Consider the following 25,677-nt stretch of genomic DNA (forward strand, 5'->3'; position numbering starts at 1 on the left):
GGGCTTATAAGCCACTTCACATAATTTTTAGAGAAATATCTGTTTAAGTATTTTGCCCATATTTTAAACAAGTAGTTTATTATTGCTGAATTGTTCTTTGTATATTCTGGATAGAGTCCTCTTTATTTATTTTTCTTTTGTTTCTTGCGTTTTTGGTGCCCTGTTAAAAGAAATCACTGCCAAATCCAGCCTTATGACGTGTTTTACCTACATTTTATAGTAAGAATTTTGTAGTTTTAGCTCTTACATTTAGGTCTTTTATCCAGTTAGTTAATTTTTTCTTATAGTAGAAGTTAAGGGCCCAGCTTCACTCTTTTACATGTGGGCACCCAATTTCCCCAGCACTAATTGTTGTAAAGGCAGTTCATTTCCCATAAAAATCATTTGACCTTATATATGAGGGTTTATTTATATGGGCCTTCTATATTACTCCATTAGTCTCTTTGTAGCATGCTATTTTGGAATTTTGTAGTAAGTCTTGAAATCATTAAGTGTGACTTGTCTAACTTTGGTATTTTTTTCAAAATTATTTTTGCAATTTAAAGATCTTTGAGATTCCCCATAAACTTAAAAATTGATTTTTTAATATCTACACAAGAGTAATTGGCATTTTACTTCTTCGTTACTTCCTAACTACTTTATTCTTTTGATACTATTGTAAATTGAATTGTTTTCAGAGTTTTCTTCTCAGATTATTCATGTTACTACATAAAATGCAGTTCGTTTTTGTATGTTGATTTTGTATGCTACTATTCAGCTGAATTTATTAGTTGTAATTTTTTTGTGTGGAATCTTAAAGATTTTCTACATATAAGAATATATTTTCTGTACACACTTTGATGCAGTTTATTTCATTGTCTTTTTTAATTTCTCTGAATGAAACTTCTAATACAGTGTTGAATAAAAGTGGCTGGCAAGAGCAGATATTCACTCTGTCTTCGGAGCTTAGAGGAAACACTTTTGATCTTTTCCTCTGGAATATGTTGTTTGCTGTGGGTTTTTATATGTGAATTTTACAAAGCTGGTTTCCTTTTATTCCTAATTTATTGTTTTTATTATAAAATATTTTGAATTTTGTAAAATACGTTATCTGTATTAATGAGAGAATACTTTTTAAAAAGTTTGTCAATGTGGCATATGCATTGATTAATTTTCATATGCTTAAACTTTTGTTAAGAAAGGCTAGCTAAGTGAACCAGTGAGACTGGAAAAAGAATAAAGAAATCTATACTGGTTGTGATCAATTATTTGTAAACACCACTGCACTGAAACCACCCATATGCTAAAACTTCCTTTCATTCCAATAATAAACTCCCCTTGGTCATGGGTTGTAATCTTGCTAGTATGCTGCTGAATGTAGTTAGCTAGGATGTTGCTGACTAGTTTTGCATCCGTGTTCATAAGGGATATTAGTCTATGGGTTTTTGTAGTATCTTTGTCTGGCTTCGGTATGAGCTAATGGTGGCTTCATGGAATAAGTTTGGAACTGCTCTCTTCAGGCTTTTGGTAGACTTTGGAAAGGATTTTTGTTCTATAAATGCTTGATCTAAATCTCTAGTGAAGCCAACAAAATAAGGGCTTTTCTTTATGAGGAGGCTTTTAATTACTGATTCCATTTCCTTAGTAGTTTTGTATCTATTCAGATTTTGTATTTCTTTGTAATCAAGTCTTGTATACCTAGGAATCTGCCCACTTTATCTACGTTTTCCAATTTATCATCCTATCATAGTTCACAGTACAGTTTTTTAAACATTTTAATTCTTTGAATTAGTAGTAATGTCCCACTTTCATTTCTCATTTTAGTATGTGAATATGCTGTTAATTTTTTGTGTGTGTAGCTGAAAGTTTGCCAATTGTTAATTTTTTGAAGAAGTGAGAATGAACTTTTGGTTTTTTGGAATTCTGTGGTTTGTATAATCTCCATTGCATTTATCTCTGCTAAAAGCTTTAATATGTTCTTCTTTCTCTTTGCTTTGCATCTAATTTGGTGTTATTTTTCTAATTTACTAGGTGATAAAGTTATTATTTATTTGAAATCTTTGTTCTTTTTAAATGTATTTTAGCTGCAAACTTTACATCTTAGCACTCTTTTTGCTGTTTCCCTTAACTTTTGATGTGTTTTGTTTTCATTTTTCTTCCTCTGTAAGTATGTTCCAACTTCCTCTGTGATTTCTTCCTTTACTTATTTGTTGTTTAAGGGTATGTTGTTTAATTTATACAGTTTTGTAAACTTTCTAACGTTTCTTCTGTTATTGATTTAATTTGAGATCTACTACACAGCCCATCGTGGGGAAATCCCCATGTGCATTTGAGAAGAGTGTGTAGTCTCTTTTGTTGGATGGAGTATATTGTATATATCTGTTAGATCAATTTGGTTCATTGAGTTATTCAAGAACTCTATTTCCTAATTTATCATCTATCTCATTTTTCTATTCATTACTCAGAGTGGAGTATTAACATCTTCAACTATTATTTTAGAACTGCCTTTTTGCCCTTTTAATTCTGTCAAGTTATGCTTTCTATATCTCAATGTTTTATTATTAGGTATGGGTTTAAACTATTTCTATCTTCCTGCCAAATGGACAATCTATGACTATATAATGTCTTATTGTCTCTTTTAAGTTTTTAAGTCTATTTTGTCTGCTATTAATATAGTCATTCCCAGTCTCTTTTTCATACTATTGGTATAAAATAATTATTTTCTTCCTTTTTTTTTATAACCCTCAAGTCCTGTGGAAGGCTAAGAGCAGCATTACTTAATTTAAAAAGCAGATAAATCTTAAATCCATAGTTTAATATTTCTAAAAGCATTTAAATGGAAATGAGCTACGCAGTCTACCAGGAACGAAGGATATCAGTTGGGTCTAAGAATAATCATGTCAAAAAGCTCTAGGAGGAAAAGCTGCTGGGAATTAAGACTGTGATAACGGTCTTTGGGATCAAGAAGGAAATGGGGAATTGGGGATGCTCAAGGTCAGGTACATGCTTAGCAAAAGACCCAGAAAACCCTAAGCTCTCACCTCTGCATTTTAAACTCTGCACAAGTAGAAAGTAGAGGCGCAAGGAGAGATGTAACTTTATGCTGATTGGTAAAGGCATGCTCCAACACACATACATAGATCTCAGGTGAAAAAATCAGATATTTATGTTTAGTGAGAGTTAAAAAATCTGGAGTCTTACTTTCCAATTAAGGTTTAGTGAAAATATTTGGGGAGATTTGCATTGATCAATTCATCCTGAGGTCAAGAAAATCTTGATTTTGGCATTTGGAGCCTCTAGTAAAGGACTAGCCTCCTCCCAGAGGTGTTCTTTGGGCTTTTGGACTCAGTGACACACTACTGGTTACACTGATTTGAAAGTCAGCTAAGAGCTTGCTGCAGAACTCCTGAGAAACTCAGTTTCACCCATAGAGGGCTAGAGCATCCCCAGCTGGTTGAAATTTTATACCTCCTTCTATCCTCTGAAGCAAAGATGCTGTCTCTGTGGGGCCCCCAATTTACTGAGTGTTTCCTATATGACTGGTCCTGGTTCATAGATGAGTCAGGGAAGGTGAAACCTCATGATGTCCACTGGGCCGCTGTGGCTGTTTAACCTGTGCCAGCCATACAGAACCTGACATGAGTGGTTGCTCCTCTCAAAGGTCAGAACTCAGGGTTTGGGATAATGGCACATATTCTATCTGTTTGGTTATCTACAATGGAAACTGTAGACTGTCTGAATGTCTTTTGGGCTGCAAACTGGAGACAATCTCAGATGCTGATCTAACTGGATCACTCATCTAGAAGTCCATGGTAAGGGTTTGTTTTCTAGAGAGTGACAACAATCAAGCTGCAGATTGAACCTAAATCTGTGTCTAACGCAGAGTCTAATACTGCAAACCAGACTTGGGGTTGCTGGTGAAAGTTGACCTATTTGTCTCATGGTTGAAGAATTCCTAGACCATACCAAGCAGAGTAACCAGAAGTGGACTTTTGGCCCACTTCTTGAGATATCAGTCACCACTCTTGACATCTTCAGCATAACAGTATGCTGACACCATCCATACCATGTGTCCCGTGAAGCTAATCTGTGCCATCTTTTAGGCTTTTGAGACCAATTGAGCTCTGACTTCGCGGCATTTTTCACCACACGTACTAAAACAAGCCAACTCTATGATGTTCCCTCCTTTTCCACACATGCTGGTTAGATAATTTGTTGATTAGGTATGGTTTATTTTCTCTTCCTGATTGCCTCCAAGATAAGGATGAAATGATTGGGAGATCTAGGAATCATCTAGGAATCTATTTCACAAACTTGGAATTTCGTGCTAATAATTCCTGGGTGAAATGTGACTTTCTTTCCCATAACTGCAATTCTAGGCAAGCCTGGCTTTTGTATCCTCTGAGTTGCATCTCAGCCTAGTAGCAGTTATGGGACTCCAACTTAGTTCCAGCTAAGTTTTATGTAAATATTCTTGTCTCTATTTTAACTGCCTCTAGTAGATAAAGTGTCTAGAAAAAAGTAGAGGGCGACTAGAATAAAGATGAGATTATAGGTACCGGAATGAGACACACTGATTCTGTGGAAGTAGTGGGAGAACAACCTGGAACCTGGGGTATGAACAACACAGACCTCGGAAGCTACGGGAAACGGTGGGACATTAACAACTTTTTTTCTTTCTGAACAACCCCTGGTGCAGCCCACAGAAAGGTCTGGAAATACTATTAGTTAGATCAGACGGTAAGGCAGAGGCTGTGGATTCATCTCCTTTTGGTCCCCACATTACTCTTAAGAATCCTTTGAGACTATTCTATCTCTCCGTGATGTAGGCATGGAACTCTAGTGGGCAGTGTGCACTCTCGGTGCCCATGGTTCCAGGCCACAGTTTTTCAGATGATGGACAACAATTGCTTTTTCCTGAAGAGACTTAGTACCCTGTGGCTGAGCTTAAGCGGGACTCTAGACAGCATTGATTGCATTTTCTTCTTCCTCTACGAACTGGGATTTCTCCTTCTGTTTTTCTACTGCCTAGAGGTGAATCTGTATTTGTCAATATTTAGGTAAATCAGAGACATAAATCAGGTAAGGAACCCTAGACACTGCTTCTAGGCTAGCTGGACTCTTGCCTATTTCCCTTCTCACTTTATGAGATCAATTATATTGGCACAGGTTGATACCCTTAGATAGTGTCTCTAAGGAGCAATTAGAGAAGCATACTTCTAGAGAAGCATACTTCTAGAGAAGCTGGTAGGACAGGGCAGGAGGGCCAATGAGGATCAAAGTTTCTGTCCAAATTTTTGAGCCTAGGTGTGTGTGGCCGACGAATCCAGGAAAGATCCCAGATCCCTGGAAGGGATTGTTAAGAGAGGATCCATTAGATTAGAATGCTAGGGTGGGTGTTCATCCGTCGCCTTCTGAGTGGGATTTTCAGGGTTAAGACTGAGGTAGGGCTGCAGAGAAATGCTATCCTGGGAAAGCCTCTGATCGAGTGCAACATAGGTGGCTCCAGCACAAGGAGAAGTCCTCTATTTGAGGAACACCATACTTGTGTGGATGTGTCTGTGCTCTTCCTCAGCAGAGCCCCACTGACTGAATGATTGTTTGAGAATTATGAGTAAAGAGCCCTATATTATTTTGAATTTAGTAAATATTGGAAGAGAAACAAACAATATTATCTACTTTCAAATTGAATAACAGCATGAGCAACTTCCAGGAAAATGTCACAGGAGGAAACTCCAGGGCCTTGCTCATCCCTGGAAACCTTGAAAATCCTGATGCAACCTGTAGGGTTAAACTTATCAATACTTAATTTTTTGCCATATAGATTTATCTTCATAAAAATATTTTCATTGGACCTTCATTTTGATATATGCCATGAAGAATAAATCATTTATTTCCTTTGTGATAAGAACATCACATTTTTACACCTCATGTATAAATGATGCCACCACCCATGTAGTTTTTATTGCTATGGCCTGAATGTTTATGTCCCCTTTCAAATTCATGTGTATAATTTTAGGCGTGAGGCCTTTGGGAAAGTGGTGAAGCCAAGAGTTCTTCATCTTCATGAATGGAATCAGTGCTCTTTCAAAGGAAGTTGAAGGGAATGCCCTTGTCCCATGTGCGAGATGGTACCATCTATGGGGAATAGGGCTCTCACCATATACGAAATTTGCTGCTGCCTTGATCTTGCACTTTCCAGACTCCATAACTGTGAAAAATACATTTCTCTTATTTATCCTTTACCCAGTCTAAGGTATTTTGTTATAGCAGCCAAGATGCACTATGACACTTTCTTAGACACTTTGGTTTATTTCTGAATTTTTAGTTTCAGTGATCCATGAGTTTTTTAATCAATCAAGATTTTACGCAGGGCTTGCCAGTGGGTTTTTTTTTTTTTTTCAGAGTTTTCTTGTCTATTCTTGTTTGTGTTTTCATCTATATAACATTTTATAGTAACGTGTACTTGCAATATTTAATGGTATCAGTATAGGAACAAAATTGAATTTATAAATAACTATAAGGACAATTGATGTTGATAATATTGAGTTTTTCTGCCTAAGAATATGATACAAATTGTCTATTTGCTTATGTCTACATTCATATATTTCATAAACTTTCTATGTTTTTTCCATATTCCGTAGATATTTTTGTAATATTTATTCCTAGTTTATTCTGCTAAAAAGTAATTTGAGACACAATGAAATTGCAAAGTGTTTATTTGAGTAAGAGCAATTGATAAATTATAAAATATCAGACGGAAAGATATTGAGTGCTTCATTGACAGTGTAAGAAGCAAGTATTTATTTGAAAAATGTAGAAACAAAGAAATCATTTGGTGGTAGCACAACTTTTTTTATTGTTTTTTGTTTGTCTGTTTACCTTGTTGGACAGTTTCTATTTATATAAGGTTGTTGGCTACTTCTGACTGGTTGAGCTTCATTTCTCTTTTTTCAATATGCAGCTACAAGAAATAATGTAAGTTTTGTTTGTATTTGCAAATCAAGCGAGGTTGAGATCACTTATGAGACCTAACTAATTTTGTCTGCTCAGAGATTATTGAGACATGATCTCCATTTTAATTTCCTTTAACAAATTTTCTGTACTTTTACTTTCCATCCAAACAGTAACTTATAAATTATTATTGTTGTACATATGTAGGCCCATGTTGTGTATGCTTTGAAGACCTGTCCTGCATTCAAACTCATTTGTATTATGTTATTATTGAATTTGCCCCATTTATTGGAATTATAAACTGCAATCCCCCAACTACAAGAGGTATGAGCTCTGATGAGATAAGAGTAAAGATGAATCAGAAGTGAAAACCGTCCTCCAACCCACACATGCAGTAAAAACAAATTTCACATGAATACAATGAGTAATTATCTAAAATTTAAAGTACCCTGAAAACATTAATGTTTATCTCATTATTATGTAATATGGAAATTAAAAGGCAAAAAAATCCAAAGACTTACTGTTTAAATATAATTGAAGTTTTTTATATGATGAAGTGCTCCATAATTTAAATGTAAAAAACCAATAGGAAATATATGAAATAAAATAAAATTATACGTAAAAGTGACAATGCCTCTATTAGATTTAACAGTATCTTACAATAGAATAAGTTGAAACCTACAAAATGGAAGAAAGTTTAAAATTAGGCAGATATTATCAGCCTGGTGAAGAATAAATACATATGTCAATAAGCATTTAATGTATTTTGTCTTAGATTTTACATGAAATAATAAAAAGTAAGCAAACCAATAGCATGGTAGTTTCACCCTGATTGATTCAAACTGAAAAAATATTAACATTTCTCCATGAGAAGTTGGATTCATGGATTGGCCTCATGCTGCATTCAAGGCACTTTAGCCAGGATCCAACACTCATTGCCAAGAGTCAGCAGGCTAGAAGTTTGCTTTTAAGATGTTCCCCGGCCTGCGACCAAGACGCTTTTTCCTGACTACTTCTTCAACTCTGACATAGGTTTTGCTAATATAAACGCAAACCCGGCTCTATACCTACCAAGTATCTACTTGGCTAGAGCTGCAAATGGAGCATTTAGGCACTAGGCAAGAGCTCTTCCCACGTTTCCAAGCACACTTTCTAGAATTTCCCAAAACTACTGACATTGTCTTTCAGACCCCATCTCCCAAAGAGAATCAGAGAGATGGTCTGGAAGCCATTTAGAATCTCCAGCCTCCAACCTAGTAACAATGGACTTGGATACAAAGACGCAACCTACTGACCTCAAAGACACCAGCCCAGATTCTGGGCATTGAATTCCTGCCTCCCCATGAAAGATCTCAACTGAGTCACATCAAAACCCACACTCTTCTTCAAGGTTCACCTTCCAGACACGCTCCAAAACAGTCCCTCAGAATTGTCTTGAGATGAAACAAAAGGTGATGAAGGTCCAGGTTTGGAATGCCTGCCTCATTCTTCACTCCTGAAAAGTCTACACCTGCTGGTTAGCACTCTCATATGTTAGGGAGCCCGGGCTCTGAGTGCATCCTTTAACAGGACCTCCTGGCCTTTTCCTACTTGGAGTAGAGTGCCCAAGAATAATAGGGAATACAAGGCCTCCACTCTCACATGGCTTGATTGACTGATGAACTGATGTCGGAGGAGGAAACATATGTAGGGAACAGCCTGGGTCTTGTGAATCCGTTTCCCAGCTATGATGCCTGTGCAAATGGAGGGAGAATCGTCAAGTATTATTGGGTGGTAGACAGACACTGCCTAATAAAATTAAGTAAATGTAAGGTGACTTGAAGGGGAATTTATCATATGTCATATACAAAATTTTATTTGGTCAACTTTATTTAAAAACAGTCACAATTTGTAAGGGCATTCAAATATAATTTTAATAGGGAGCTATGAAAATTATCTGCACTTGCTATGTAAGTGATTGAGTTAGGGGTAACTATCTGAAGGTCATGAGCTTGATATCTGCTACTTAATTTCATAAGACATTTACTTGCAAATGGTTGCCATTTTTGCTCTCACTATATGAAAATTTTTTCTTGCAAAGAGCATTCCTATGAAAGAAAAACTAGAAATTTTGCCAATTTCGGCTATTAAAACAATAAAACTGGTTTGTTTGTTATTCTTAACCAAATGCTCCTACAGATGACACATAGTACCCATGCTTTGATTGTTTTTTGTTTTTTTTTTCACCTTAGGTCAATTGCCTTTCATTTTATTTATCAAACTGTATTTACTGTAGATAGACATTGCAGTTCTCATGTGCCCTATGGATTTGTACTTTCTTAGAAGTATGAATTCTCAGGCTGAGTATATTGGCTTATGCCTGTAATCCCAGCAATTTGGGAAGGCGAAGCAGGTGGATCACCTGAGGACAGGAGTTCAAGACTAGCATGGTCAACATGGTGAAACCCCATCTCTCTACTATTCACAGTTCACATTGTACCTTGCAATGAATATACATTTTATCCAAAAAGGCTAAAAAATAATGAAACTGGGGTGGGAATGGCTGGAAGTATAGGTGAAACAAAAATGACACATGACTAGCAGCTGTTAAATCTGGGTGACTGGTCTGTTATCTTTTTTTTGTATTATGTATACGTTTTTAATGTTCTGTAATAAAACACGTGTAGAAAATGACAAAGTTTATCTACACTTAGCTCTTAAGGTCTTGGTTACCTTTGGGAAGGAGAAAGTGTCAAGGGCATGAGCAAATCTGATTCTTACATACACAAGTGTATTTATTTAGTAATAATTCATCAAGCATTCCATAAATATTTTGTTCCTATATTGCTGTATGCAAGTTATTCATCAATAAATATTTAAATAGTACATATTTGCATAACAATCCTAAATTAATATTTTAGAATAATAGTAATGTTTTGTTTTGTTTTAAAGTGGGGCGTGTTCTCTCAGGACATCGTCAGGTGTATATTAATGTTCCAAGATATTTATTTACGTTTTAACTTTTGGAAGAGTCCCCTAGGTCTTTTAATTTTTACCTCAGTACAGTAAGTAGCATGGTTTTAACTTTTTGGATTGCAGCTTTGTTTTCAGAAAGGTTCTCCCCGAAGAATGATGCTCACCCAGGCCAGCGCACACAGCACAGTGACCCGTGCACAGGATGCACTGAGCACACACGGCACTGGGTGAACCATGAACAGAAGGAGAAGCCAGCCTGGGTCTGCAAAATATACTTTGCAGGAAAAGCAGGTAAAATTGAAAGGTCACAATTCAGCAGCAAACGTTTTTACATTCATTTGAGAAATCATTTCTAACAAAAGCTGCTCGTTAAAGCCATGGTTTTCTGGCTTGCCTACACATTGTAATCACCTGCACAACTTTCAACCGTATTTTTTTCAGATCCAGCTCCAAGGATTCTGATTTAGTTGTGCGGTTACAACTTGGGTTTAAGGGATTTTGAAAGTTTTCCTCCCCGCAGGTGATTCTCTTGCGCCAGGGGTAAGAAGCGCTGGATAGGGGTGAGGGATGCTTTAGCTGTGAGAGATAGCCATGTACGCTTCAGGATTTGCCCCATCACATATCTGGAGTTCAGGGTCTTAGAAAATATTCTTGCCCTGTTAAAAATTAAAGGATGGCTTCAATACAAATTTAGCTATTTGGCTACGTTACAGAAAAAGAAAATGCCTTTCCAGAGATCAGTTTTTTGAGTCAGAGTTTTGTTCTGTCAGTGAGGCTGGAGTGCAGTGGTGTGATCATGGCTCACTGCAGCCTTGACCTCCCAGGCTCAGGTGATCCTCCAGCTCCAGCCTTCTGAGTAGCTGGGACTGAAGGCATACACCAGGCATGGCTAATTTTTCAATTTTTTTTTTTGTTGTTGTTGTTGAGATGGCTTTCTCTATGCTGCATGGGCTAGTCTCAAACTCCTTGCCTCAAATGATCCTCCCACATCAGTCTCCCAAACATTTCAACCTACAGGCACAGGCAACCATGCCTGGTGTATTTATTAAAATGTAGCTACTAGAATATTTAAAATTCACATGTGCCTCACATATTATTTCTTAGAGAATTGCCTCATTTTTGAAATCTCAGGCTGCCTGCTCTAAAACCTGGATGTGCCAGGAAGTAAAAAATCTGAAATTTTAAAATAATTGTCATTATATTGCTTCCATGTATGAATAACACATATATATTTTTCATAAATACAAATAATCTTACACACAAATGAAAATGCAAGTATTTTACAGGCAGGGCCAGTGTCCAGTGCATGAAGGAAGCCCTGCCAGAAAAGGATCCAGGAAAAACCTATAATTCTTGCTTTATTCAATCCAGTGTCAAATCACATATGTCACTCATGGCCTGAGGGGGCTTGGTGGGGAATTGAACTATATCCAGTCACGGGTGCTGGAGTGGAAATTATCTAATCAGGTGCACAGCTGGAGAAGAATGGGCAGCTTTTTGGATCTAGGGATGCCTTTGCCTGTCTCTCCACTCAGAGGTCAGTACACTAGAGCCACCTCAATGCAATTGCCTGTTTTTTAGTTGTTTTAATGCTCCAAAAAAGAATTCATTTTCTCATGCATTTTCCAAATGTGTGGCAAGAAGAGCCTCAAATCTACCACCCTGTTACCCCAGCCTAACTCTTGCTTGCAGTCAGAGTTTAAATTTCCAGTTCTTTCCTGACACTTACCAACACTAACTAACCTTGTGTAACTCACAACATTATCAACTGTTCTTTATTGTACATTTTAGACATAGTATTTTAATTCTGCATTTTTTCAAAAAGCAGTGGATGGCACTTAAAAAAATATTTTTCATTTGTAAACATTTTACAGGACATGAAAGCAGATAATAATCCCCTGACAATCCACAGTAAAAAAAAAAAGAAAAGAAAAGAAAAGAAAATATTTGTGCCCCTTTCTTTAATCTTGCCTTGGCACAGACACCCCATCAGAATGTCTTTGGGTTGAGGTTTCATTTCAGAAACCTCACAGGGCAATACATCCTCAGCCATCCTGTGTTATTTTCTTGGTTTTGGGTTTCAAAACTGCTTGAGAATCCCCAAGATACCAACACTGGCCATGACTCTTGAAGTGTCTAGTAAATAGCATCCCTTGTGTCATCTCCTCTCAGGGAACAGCCCAAGGTATGGGAATGCAGCCTCTTTTTGGAGTGGTTGGATGCACTATACCTGGAAGGAATCTCCACGTATACCTTTGCGTTAAAAGCAAACCTCTTAGGACATTAAGAATTTCTTACCCCAACGCTTAGTTTCCATTCCTTAGAGACACATTGCAGGCCAGGCAACTGGATGCTGATATTGAGGAAAAAATGTCCTCAGATTGGTGAAGGGAGAGAAAATATTTCAAAGGATAAAGAAACCCAACCTAGTGAGGCAGTGCAAAAACCTGCAAAGTAAAATGCACCTTACAGACACAGTGGAGCAGAGCGTAGCAGCTCCTGGTAGGACGCTCATGACCCACATCACTGAACCAGATAGGAGCAGGGAAAATATCCCAAGTAATAGAACGGCTTGACTTGACCCTTGGGTCAGATATGTCTGTGTTTCAATCAGCATTGTCACCTTCTAATTTTGTCACCTTGAAAATATGATTGTATTTATTTTAACTTCACTTTTTCATTAACTGTAAATTATGTTTTATCAGTAGAGCTTCAAAGGTATGAGAATATTTATAAAGCACATTAAGTTGGTGAATTTTGAATAAAATTAAGTAGTAATATATTTCATTTGTTAAAAATTGTTACTTACCTATTTCTTCAGCAGAATGAGCGTAGCATGTCTCCCAGGTCTGTTTTTTATTTGTTTGAGAGGTGATTTCAAGCAGAATCTCACAGCTTACTGTTGGAAATGCTATCAGTTGTAAAGATAGGGATAGTATCTCTTCCACTACGGTGGTAGGAAATGAATACATATCTGCAAGCACATGAGGTAGATTAATTGTCAAATTACATAAATTTATCACATAAGTTATTCTTTTTTTCAAAAGAGAGAACTTGTGAAAGTGAATAACTCTATTCCATATGCTGCCATCTGGGTGTTTGAGGGTAATGTTAAGTTTTAGGAGCTGGGACTTTGCGCCTCCTGGAAGTGTTCACATATGATTAATTGTTTACTAAATGATTTGTTATGAACATAATTAAATTACATGTTTATTTTCTGAAAGGGATAGATACTTTGGCTTTTCTTGATGAATTATAAGATATAAGCCCCTTATAATGTTTTTATTTTATTTTATTCTGTTATTTTTTAGATGTAGTTTCACTCTTGTTGCCCAGACTGGAGTACAATGGCAAGACATCTGCTCACTGTAACCTCCACCTCCTGGTTTCAAGCGATTCTCCTGCCTCGGCCTCCCGAGTAGCTAGGATTACAGGCATACAACACCACACCTGGATAATTTTGTATTTTTAGTAGAGACGGGGTTTCTTCATGTTGGTCAGGCTGGTCTCAAACTCCTGATCTCAGGTCATCTGCCCACCTAGGCCTCCCAAAATGCAGGGATTACAGGCATGAGTCACAATGCCCGGCTGTAATTTCCTCTCTTTTATACCTTAGATTTGAATAATTTTTGCTGGATTCTTCAAACATGAAGTATTTTTTGAATTGAAAACTAACTGAATGACTAACTGGTAAGTAGAAGTCTTAGACCATCGACTAAAAGCTAAGGCCCACCTTGACCCAGCAAAAGAGGACCACTGAAGGCTCAGTTGATTATTCCTGGGTGTCTGCCCTGCAGGTGTCCAAGCCTACTCACACCAATCATGGAAGGAGCCTTTGTCACTGCCAGAAGATATAGAGCCTTGGTAAGCTGGAAGTTCACAGGCAGATGCAGTTGAGGTAGAGATAGAAGAAATGTTGGGAGATTCTTTTTAGAATGGAATTGTTATTGTCCTCAGACTGTTTCTAGACTTGGTCTAAGAAGTTACCTAAGAAGTATTGCAACAAAGAAAAAGTACAAATGATTAGATCTTTGAGTATCTCTAAGGTTAGGTGGAAAAAGGCCTTATTTCATAGGGAGGAGAAAACAAGTTTACAAAGAAGGTTGGAAAGGAAGCACAGGATGGAGGGTAGCAAAATGAGATCCCAGATAAGATAATGTTTCACCTTGAACTCAGCCTGTTCTTAGGAGGGTTACGTATAAATAAGGGTTGTAGGTTTGCTGAAGCTGTGGGTGAGTCAAAGTTCAGGGGCTGTTTGGAAGAAGAGAAACAAGCAAAGTTTCTGTAAAGAGTATGTTATTTTGACCACTGAAGACTAAATTACTGAATGGTTGTTCATTTTTAAAAATGGGAATTTGCAATCTGTGTCCATTTTTGTGATAGGTTAAAAAAACAGCAGGGAGCATCCTCAAAGTCATCACGGGAAGCACGTTTCTCTTCACTAAGCTGTTCTTTGAGAATGCAAAGAATGGGGGAATTTCTTTAAATATAGCTATTTCCAGGATTACCTTCACCCACAACTGTTCCTTGCCCTAGACATCTCTTCCATTTGGCTGTTTCTGAGTTATATTTTTATAATAAAGTAGTAAATATAATTACAGTTATTTGTTGAGGTTTTCTTTTTAGTAATTCTATCAAATTATTTAACTTGAAAAGGGGTTTATGCTAGTCTCAGATTTATAGGAGGTAGCTCAGAAGTGTAGATGGGTTTCAGGGATGTGTAACTCTCCTCTACAGTGAGAGAGGTGATGTGGGACTGAGCCCTGAATTTGTGGGGTCTGTGCGAACTCTAAGTTGTGTCAGAATTAAATTTTGGGGCAACAAATGGGTGTTGGAGAATCAGTGGGTTTTCAGGGAACTTTCCACATTTAGGATCAAAAACATAAAAAGAAAGACAATGTGGGGGCCTCTGCTGGAGAGAGACTCCAGGTGTCTCGGGGAAGGTAGGCTCTGCTCTGCACACAGGCTGCTACACCATGAACTGCCCTGTGGTTCCAGGCATCCTCCCATGGTAAGAAGGACCGACGACTCTGAGGGAAGAAGTTCTGAGAACAGATGCCTTCTACCCTCCTGCCAACCTGAGGCCACCACATGTTTTTCACCCACTGAACATACACACTGCATGTTGACGTGGTCAAGCCCCTCCCAGCACAGGGCTTCGGCATAAAGATTGTGGCCCATGCTACCTATCCTCATAGACTTTCCCACCAAAAACCCACACACGTGCCTACAAGACCCCTGGCATATGCTCTACCTCAGACACCGAATCTGCAGGGGCAACCTGGTTTTTTCACCATCCCAGGTTTCTGTGCCACCTGATCATAATCTCGTCTTCCTGCATGGACACAGAAATAAGTCAGAGTAAAGTTTCACCTGGGTCAGTATCTGTAGCATGAACCAGTCCTTCCACCAACCCTGTAATGTCTCCCAATTGTGGGTTCTTAATAGCACCTTCCCCTCTTTTACCTTTTAGTTCACCTCAAACCTTTTATTTACGTGCACTTAGTGTGTCCAAGCCACCCCTCAGTTGCCTGAATCCAGCACCTACTAAAATTCAGATGTCCAGTAGTTCAAGACCATGGGCCTAGGCCATGTTTTTGCAGAAGGAAATACATATTAGAAATGAGAGGCTCTATCCTCCCATTTGAAAATTAAAAAAGATATTTTTTCTTTTCCCTTTTCTTAAACAATGTAATTTAGAGAACTTTTTTTAGTAATTTTTTGAGATGGAATCTTACTCTTTTGCTTAGTCTGAAGTGCAATGGCATAATCATAGCTCACTATAACCTTAACTTCTTGGGTTTGAGCAGTCCTCCTGCCTCAACCTCTTAATTACCTAGGACTATAGGCATGCACCTCCAGGCCTGGCTAACTTTATTTATTTATTTATTTATTTATTTATTTATTTATTTATTTATTCAAGACAGTGTCTTGCTCTGTGGGTCAGGCTAGAGTGTAGTGGCATGATCTTAGCTCAATGCAACCTCCGCCTCCCAGGTTCAAGCAATTCTCTTGCTTCAACCTTTTGAGTAGCTGGCATTACAGGCGCACAGCACCATGCCTGGCTGATTTTTTATTGTTATTATTTTTAGGAGAGAAAGGGTTTCACCATTTTGGCCAGGCTGGTCTCGAACCCTGACCTCATTATCCACCTGCCTCCGACTCCCAAAGTGCTGGTATTACAAGCGTGAACCACCATGCCCAGCCATATTTATTTTATTTATTTTTTTATGGTGACAGAATTTCACCATGTTGCCTGTACTGGACTCAAACATTTGGCTTCAAGAGATCCTCCTGCCTTGGCCTCCCCAAATGTTGGGATTACAGGCATGAACAGCCGTGCCTGGCCTGGAAAACTTTTATATGTATCTTTTTTTCTCTGCTTCTTTGAAATATAAGCAAATCATTTTAACAGCTAAATAAGCCTTTTGCCACCTTCATGACACAGAATTGTCTTTGTCTAAGACCTGGAAACTATTGTTTTGTTTTTTAATTTGGCAAAGATTTATTGATTTTTTATTTTCAGTCTTTTGAAGTAGACACAGCTCAGTACAGTGGCTCATGTTTTTAATCCCAGTGCTTTGGGAGGCTGAGATGAGAGAATTGCTTGGGCCCAGGAGTTTGAGACCAGCCTGGGCTGCCTAATGAGTCTCCTTCTTTATAAAAAATTAAAATCAACTAGCAGGGCATGGTGGCACAGGAGGCTGAGGTGAGAGAATCATTTGAGCCCAAGAGTTTGAAGCTGCAATGAGCCATGATCACAGCACTCTACCACTGTACTCCAGCTTGGGTAACAGACGGAGACCCTGTCTCTAAATAAATAAGTAAATAAAAAAAAGTGTTTTTCCATACATAAAAATAAGTAAATAAACAGATAAATAAAATAGACATGGATTTGCTGAGAATAAAGCTAATTACAAGATAACAGAAAAGTGAGCACCAAAGATGGGGTTCACCCTAGCAAATGATTCCAGCCTATTAGGACACTCACAGAATTTTCCCTGCAGCATGACCGACATGAAAGTAGAATGTCATCATGTCAGGCTGTACCAGCGTTGGAAGACTAAACACTGTGGGGAAGAACCTCCCTTATGGAATATTATCAACAGGTGAGAGCCCAGCTCCTGCCCTGATGGGCTACAGAAATGAGTTCCTGAGATAACACATTGCAGAAACATGCATAGAGTAGTTTAACCTTTTTTGTGTGTAACCCTCTCACCATTTTCCTGCGAAATCCTCCCTAGTAATAGTGTTAGCTTTTAAGTTTTGAGGGTCCGATAGGACTGAAGCTGCATGCTGCAGGAGATACCTGGGGCCGGAAACTAATACAAACTGCAGCCACAGGCATAAATACTCATGGTCTAATGTAGAGTGAAAACAATACAAAATTCTTTATCGTTATTCGCACAAGTGTGTGAAGAGAGACTTTCCACATAACCAAATTGCCACTGAGACTAGTGAAGGCCAGATTCCACTGGAACAAGGCTATGAGTTACTCATGGGAAGGCCGTAGGACAAAGCCCAGAGATTTTTCATATTTGAGTCTGGGTCCTGGTTCTTTCCCGGTCTTCTCGGGTTTCTGTCTGTAGAGACCCCTATGTGGCTGCTCTCAGCACAGCCCAGTGCTGGCTGTGTTTGCTGGTTTAGTGCACCTGCTCTTTTTCCAAAAAGAGGGAGGAGTTGGCCACATTAAACTGAATGATGAAGCTCCTCATCAATCTGAATGCAGCTTTGTAAATGTGCCTAGAAACCACGCAAAGAAAAGTCTGTGTTCTGCCTTGCTTTGACCGTATGTGACACCTCCATTAGAAATTCTGCTTTTCTCTGCACTCCAGCCTGGGTAACAGAGTGAGACTTCATGATAAATAAAAAAGAAAGAGAGAGAGAAGGAAAGAAAGAAAGAAAGAGAGAGATGGAAAGAAAGAAAGAGAAAGAAAAAAAAGAAAGAAAGAAGAAAGAAAGAAAGAAAAGAAAAGAGAAAAGAAGAAAGGAAAAAAGAAAAAAGAAAATAAAAGAAATTCTGCTCTTCAGATAAGGCACATAAGGAGAATCTGTATAAATCTCCATGAAGGAAGGAAACCAGAGGACAAGTTAAAGTCTTGGAATTCACATCTGAGTACACAGACTCATTCTCCAACCCTCTTCTTTTTATTCTGCCAGCTATGGCCTAGGTATGAACATGACAGGTACACAAGAGTTCCAACACCCGACAATCTACTTCAGTCCAAGAAGAGTGCCCTCCCTCTTGCTCCCCATCCAACTCATGGTACTAAGAAGTGGTGTGGGACTGCCCAGATGAGTTGACAAGAGAGGCTGGCTTGGAGGGGCCTGTCCTGGGCTGCCCTGTGTTATTTGTAGGTGCACCCGGCCAATAGCCAGGGACATCAGTGATGAGGGCTCAGTTGACATCTGTGTTATCAGATAAGACTTTTACATTGAGCCTTTGTAAGGCTGAAACTCAGAAATTTCAGGGCACAATGAAAGAGCATCTCACTCTCTTGAGCAACTCTCACAAACAGAGGTGGATACAGAGCTGTCTCAAGAATGTGGATTCCTGGTTTCTTAACTGCTGTTGGGTTCTGACACCAAGAAAGTGTGTTAAACTCTTCAAGGTTCCATCTACTGGGCCCTATGTTTCTGTAAGACATACCGAAAGGCCCCACTATGCTACTGATTGCTCAGTCTCCTCTTCCATGTCAACTCTTTATTTGTACACAATTATGCAAACACAACTTCCCCTTAATTCCCTGGAAAGACCTAAATGCAACCTGGGTTCCAGGAGAGAAGAGACAGCTGGAACATAACTTTGTTTTTCTTACCATCTCTGGGACCCAGTAAAAGTCACTGTATTCAAGGCTTCCCCAGCCTCCTAACATGCACAGTGGTGATGATGCTAACATCTACTTCCTAGGGAATGTGTTAGGTGTATATAAGATAAGACAGTGGCCGGGCGCGGTGGCTCACGCCTGTAATCCCAGCACTTTGGGAGGCCGAGGCGGGTGGATCATGAGGTCAGGAGATCGAGACCATCCTGGCTAACAAGGTGAAACCCCGTCTCTACTAAAAATACAAAAAATTAGCCGGGTTCGGTGGCGGGCGCCTGTAGTCCCAGCTACTCGGGAGGCTGAGGCAGGAGAATGGCGTGAACCCGGGAAGCGGAGCTTGCCGTGAGCCGAGATTGCGCCACTGCAGTCCGCAGTCCGGCCTGGGCGACAGAGCGAGACTCCGTCTCAAAAAAAAAAAAAAAAAAAAAAAAGATAAGACATAAAAATAATGATGTAGTGTCACCTGTAGATAATGCACACACTTAGAGATGGAAGCATTAGGAGAATAGGTGGGAGGTAGCATGGGCCACAACTCAAACAGGCCTGGTGTCTGCCAGGGTGATCTTGGAAATATCACTTCTCCACTGGGCCTCATTTTCATTCTGCTCCAGTATGAAGTTGAAATTAAATGTAGATACTGTCCTCTGGCATTCATATAGTTTAGCTGTGCGTCCCCACCCAAAACTCATTGTGTATTATAACCCCTAGGTGTTAAGGGAAAACCTGAGGGGAGATGATTGGATTATGGGGACGGGTTCTCCTCATGCTGTTCTTGTGATAGTGAGTTCTCACGAGATCTGATAGTTTCATAAGCATCTGGTACATCCCATGCTCTCACTCACTTCACTTGTCAGCCACTGTAATTGGAAGGTTTCTGAGGTGCCCCCACAATTATGTGGAAATGTGAGTCAATTAAACTTCTTTACTTTATAAGTTACCCAGTCTCAGGTACTCCATCATTGCAGTATGAGAATGATCTAATACAGGAATTCAACTTTCTAGTGCTTTCTCTTTATATTTAGAATCATTTCCATGTGCCTTATCACATCTATGACAGAGGAAGTCTTCACAAAGTCTCCCAGTACTAGGTATTGAGTGACTCAGTTTTTTATTGAATAAAATGGAATACTTCCTGATGCCAGTACTATGGCCCTTCGGTTTTGAGGAAAATATCATCTTGTATGTTGGCTAACAAGGAGATAGGAGTTCAAATCAAATTTGTTTTGTCATACTGGCTTTAAGGCAGTGATTAGAAAAGGCCTAATAGGTGGGTTCTGTAGGGGATTGCTGGAAGGAAAGTAGGAATATGGAAAGTCATGAGACATATACAGTCATCTCTTCTTGTTTCCTCACAGGTCACATACAAATTCAGGGAGAGTTAGTATGAAGCACACAATGGAAATTTGGGCTCCAAAGTCTGCAAACTGATGCTTCATGGACTTCAGTTGGCCATATTGGTTCCAACAATTTCAGCCAATGTTTAAAAAACTTATAGCAGTTAAAATTTTAGTGTTTCAACAAGCCGTTTCCTATCTTTCATTCTGAAGATCCATTTTTTAAGTCTTTTTTTTAACAGTATAGGGGGTACAAATTCAGCTTCTCTCCAATGAAACACAGAAAAGGATATCCCTTTTGTATTAGTTCAGGCTGCTATGCCAAAGAACCATAGATAGGCAGCATATAGACAACAGGACTTAATTTCTCATACCTCCAGAGGTTCAAATTTGAGATCAGGGTGTCAGCATGGTTGAGATCTGGTGATGACTGGCTTCTGAATTTCAGCCTGCACACTTCAGGTTTTACCCTCATTTTGCAGGAGGATGAGAGCCCTCTGCGGTTTCTTGTATAAAGCCAGTAATCTGTATTATGAGGGTCCCACCCTAAGGGGTTAATTACTTTCTACCTCCTTATAGCGTTACGCCCGGGGTTACAATTTTAACACAAATATAGAAGAAAAATTATAGTAACTCTCAAGTTTTTTTTCTTTCTTTCTTTCTTTCTTTTTTTTTTTTTTTTTTTTTTTTTGAGACACAGTTTCACTCTTGTATCCCAGGCTGGAGTGCAGTGGTGTGATCTCGGCTTATTGGAACCTTTGCCTCCCAGGTTCAATTGATTCTCCTGCCTCAGTCTCCCAAGTAGCTGGGATTACAGGCATGCGCCACCACATCTGGCTCATTTTGTATTTTTAGAAGAGACGGTGGTTTCACCATGTTGTCCAGGTTGGTTTCAAACCCTTGACCTCAGGCGATCCACACGTCTCAGCATCCCAAAGTGCTGGGATTACAGGTGTGAGCCACCGCACCCTGTCAAGATGTTTTTAAAGCTCTAATTTTTCTCCTACTGGGTTTTTCTCGTTTGCGCCCTCGATCTTTCTGTCTCTTTTTGTGTAAACCTTTTTGTCTAATTCTGTCTATTGTATTCCTCAAACACAGGAAGCAAGCTCCAATGCTATGAGATGCTCCATGTAGAGACCCACATAACAAAGGGTGAGGGGGTGCTCAGACGAGTAGAGAGAAGGAAAGTCAGGCTCTCCAGCCACACTAAACCCTGTCAATTTTCACATGAGTCAGCTTAAAGGCTCATGCTTTCCCAGTCCAGCTTCAGTTAAGACCACAGCCCCCAGTCTCATAAAAGACCTGAAGGCAGAGGTAGCCAGCTGAACTGTGTCCAGATTCTGGTCCACACAAATTATGAGATATTATATGTTGTTGAAAAGTGCTGACTTTTAGGGCAATGTTGTCAGAAAGGAGCAGATATCTAACCTCATCTCCCAGGCCCTAGGATTCTCCATCCCTCTGCTTATCTCTTTCTCAGGCTGTCTGCAGCCAAACTAGTCCCTTTTTACCTCTGCCAAACTCACACCTATGAGTTTTTTCACTAAGGGTGGCTTCTCCCTGACACATGCTTGTGCAGATGCCTCCCTGCTGTCATCCTCATCATGGATTAAAAGTCACCTCAGTGACGCCTGAGTTCCTCCCATGCAATAATTTTCCAGGTTTTCTTCTCAATAATCTACTTTATATTATAGTCCTTGCTCTTTTCTTTCACATATACTTGCTTTAGTGCTTTTGTCCAGCGGTCCTCAGACTGTTTGGTCCTGGGTTGGGGGGTGCAGACATGATGTAATAATTTTCTGTACCACATGTTGGACCCACCAGGGTCACTGGCAAATGGTGAGCGCAAGGGAAAAAAGACTGGCTAAGTGATTATATGGAGGATCTCTAATATCCCTTCCCCTTTTGACCACCTGATAATGTGGACATCACTGATAACAACATGAGTTGTGTGACTGTTACTTGTTCCAGCTGCTCCAGCAAAGCTCAGTGGGCACCAGAAACACAGTAGGCTGTAACCACCTCCTGGCCATCACTAACCCTACAGCCCCAAGCAGGAGCACTACCGAACAAATCTGATACCTTGATTTTTCTGTCCTCAAGACACTGGTTCTTCAAGGTCCTAGGGGATAAAGTAGCAGGATCTGAAGGCCCCAAGTATAATGAGTGACCTAGGAATCCCGTTTTGCCCTCTCTTTGCCTCCACCTTTTTGGTTGTGCTATTTACTCATGAGGTATCCTCCCCTTATCCAGTGAAATTATTTTCTACCACTTTCAAATGAGGACCTTAAGAACGCAACAGTAGCTGAGATTTTCCGTGGACCTCAGCCTCAGAGTCCAGTGCTCTGGCACATTTAACTCTGTCTCATCTTCATCTACCCAAGATGCCTCTCAAGTGGCCATGCCTCCCTCTGATTTGAAGGATCTGCAGAGTGGGTGCATTTTTGCAGTCTCAGAGCAAGAATCCAGGCTGGCAGACACTTATGAGTATGTGAAATCATCAAGGTCACCCACTTCAGGCACCCCTATTTATGAGGAAGAAAACAGGCTTTCCTGTAGGCACTGTCTACATTAGGCTGAGGTGGAGCATAGCTCATTTTACTTCCAGTTGCCCTCAGAGCTGGATGCAGAACCCCAGTCCTGTTATCTTGAAACTGACATGGAGAGGACCCCATGTGAACAGAACCCTGAATCTGCTCATTTTCTGTGCTCCTGAATGTGTAGCTACAGACTCTAATTTCGAAAACAAACCTGATAAGTGGGACGGTGCCAAGGCCTAGGAAGCTGGAGCCCTCTCTAATGCTCTGGAGCCTGCCCACCTCCTGAGATCTGGACCAGTCTCTGCCTCTTCTGGGGCCTCAGTTTCCCAATTGTAATGTAATGAGAAATTAAATGTAAAACTGCATAAACATATGCTCTGTGAGAATTTGGTGTCAGAGTTCTCAATACTGGATGATAATTTGGAGTGGGGTGGGTTTGGGACCCATGGGTTCTCAGGCCTCCTTTCACACCCAGTGCAGTAGGTGTAGAGCTCTGGACAGCCAGGTGTTCTTTCCTGAGCCAGCTGATTACAACACAATGGACCAAGGGCTCTGATCTTAAATATGGTTTCACAGGATACCCCACCTTCAGCCACCACCTGCTCTGTGCTTCCCATATTTTGGGGAGCTGATGACAAACCCCATTATAGTGAAGAAGAGCAAGAAACTAGACTTGTGGGCCTGGGGAAAAGAAAAAAAACACTTCTATTTCTCCCAAACTGTAGAATCTCTTGTCAAATATTTAATTTTGATTATATCTGAGCTTGATAATACATTCATGTGTTAACAGCTGCTTAAATTTATTTTTTCTGTGAAGTGTGGGATAATGTCTTTGCCGTATTTTAAATCAAATTCTAAAAGCTCTCTTTAGAGTGGATAAGTGAGCATCTTTGTAATATAAACTTCACATATTTGTTGCCAGTTTGTTCTTTTTGTTTTTGTTAAAATGTTTTGTTTTATTCTGATTTGGATGTCTTTTGGGGTTTTGCTTTGTGGCTATTTATTATGACAGTGTAACTTCTCCTCTAATTGACTGACAGGTTTGTACATTCTCAATAAAATATTTTCATAAAATCTTTGTAAAAATTGTGTAGTCAATTTTACATTACATAAACATAAAACAGTAAAGACTATCATGATGAAAAAGAAAGATTGAGGGCTTAAAAAGTAAAATACGACACAACTAAAGTAGTCTGAAAGGGAAATTTACAGCACTAAATCCCCACAAGAGAAAGCAGAAAAATGTCTAAAATCGACACCGTAACATCACAATTAAAAAAACTAGGGAAGCAAGAGCAAACAAATTCAAAAACTAGCAGAAGACAAGATTTAAGATCAGAGCAGAACTGAAGGAGATAGAGACACAAAAAGCCCGTCCAAAATATCAATGAATCCAGGAGCTGGTTTTTTTAAAAGATCAAGAAAATAAATAAACTTCTAGCCAGACTAATAAGGAAGAAGAGAAGAATCAAATACATGCAATAGGAAATGATAAAGGGGATATAACCATTGATCCCACAGAAATAAAAAGTATCATTACAGAATATTATAAATACCTCTTTGCAAATTAACTAGAAAATCTAGATGAAATGGATAAATTCCTGGACACATATACCCTCCCAAGTGCAAACCAGTAGGAAGTCGAATCCTTGAATAGGCCAATAACAAGTTCTAAAATTGAGGCAGTAATTAGTAGCCTACCAACAAAAAGAAGTCCAGGACCAGACGGATTCACAGCCGAATTCTACCAAAGGTACAAAGAGGAGCTGGTACCATTCCTTCTGAAATTATTTCAAACAATAGAAAAAGAGGTACTCCTCCCTAATTCATTTTATGTGGCCAGCATCATCCTGAAACCAAAACCTGGCAAAGACACACCAGAAAAAGAAAATTTCAGGCCCATATCCCTGATGAATATCGATGCGAAAATCCTCAATAAAATACTGGCAAACCGAATCCAGCAGCACATCAAAAAGCTTATCCACCACGATCTAGTCAGCTTAATCCCTGGGATACAAAGCTGGTTCAACATATGCAAATCAATAAATAAAATCTATCACATAAACAGAACTAATGACAAAAACCACATGATTATCTCAATAGATGCAAAAAAGGCCTTCAATAAAATTCCACACCTCTTCATGGTAAAAACTCTCAATGAATTATGTATTGATGGAACCTATCTCAACATAATAAGAGTTATTTATGACAAATGCACAGCTAATATCATACTGAATGGGCAAAAACTGGAAGCATTCCCTTTGAAAACCTGCACAAGACAAGAACACCCTTTCTCCCCACTCCTATTCATTATAGTATTGGAAGTTCTGGCAATCAGCCAAAGAAAGAAAGAAATAAAGCGTATTCAGATAGGAAGAGAAGAAGTCAAATTGTCTTTGTTTGCAGATGACATGATTGTATATCTAGAAAACCCTACCATCTCAGCCCAAAATTTCCTTAAACTGATAAGCAACTTCAGCAAAGTCTCAGGATACAAAATCAATGTTCAAAAATCACAAGCATTCCTATACGCAATAATAGGCAAACAGAGAGCCAAATCATGTGTTAACTCTCATTCACAATTGCTACAAAGGGAATAAAATACCTAGGAATCCAACTTAAAAATGATGTAAAGGACCACTTCAAGGAGAACTACAAACCACTGCTCAAGGAAATGAAAGAGGACACAAACAAACGAAAACAATCCATGCTCATGGATAGGAAGAATCAATATTATGAAAATGGCCATATTGCCCAAAGTAATTTATAAATTCATTGCTATCCCCATCAAGCTCCCATTGACTTTCTTCACAGAATTAGAAAAAAAACTACTTCAAATTTCATATGGAATCAAAAAAGGTCTTGCATAGACAAGACAATACTAAGCAAAAAGAACAAAGGTGGAGGCATCATGCTAGCTGTCTTCAAACTATACTAAAAGGCCACAGTAACCAAGACAGGATGGTACTCGTACCAAAACAGATATATTGACAAATGGAACAGAACAGAGGCCTCAGAAATAACACTCAACATCTAGAATCATCTGATCTTTGATGAACCTGACAAAAACAAGTAATGGGGAAAGGATTC

At 39.1% G+C, this 25,677-nt stretch overlaps 1 long non-coding RNA gene across 12 annotated transcripts in view; it reads right to left on the minus strand.

Annotated features, from left to right (window-relative positions):
• Window positions 1-6,680: 6,680 nt before the first annotated feature.
• Window positions 6,681-25,677, minus strand: part of LOC389831 (uncharacterized) — a 43,798-nt gene continuing 24,801 nt past the window's right edge. For 3 of the 12 annotated variants that reach the window (NR_187195.1, NR_187193.1, XR_009530071.1), the window contains 2 exons: window positions 12,698-12,862; window positions 6,681-8,666 (listed from right to left, as the gene is read on the minus strand). This is a non-coding gene — a long non-coding RNA (uncharacterized LOC389831). Of the gene's footprint in view, window positions 10,545-12,697; window positions 13,226-13,621; window positions 13,876-25,677 lie in introns of those variants that run through there. The other 9 variants (XR_009530076.1, XR_009530073.1, XR_009530074.1 and 6 more) reach the window with 6 other exon arrangements.

Source organism: Homo sapiens, unplaced genomic scaffold (assembly GCF_000001405.40).
Source record: "Homo sapiens unplaced genomic scaffold, GRCh38.p14 Primary Assembly HSCHRUN_RANDOM_CTG1".
Taxonomy (NCBI): Eukaryota; Metazoa; Chordata; class Mammalia; order Primates; family Hominidae; genus Homo; species Homo sapiens.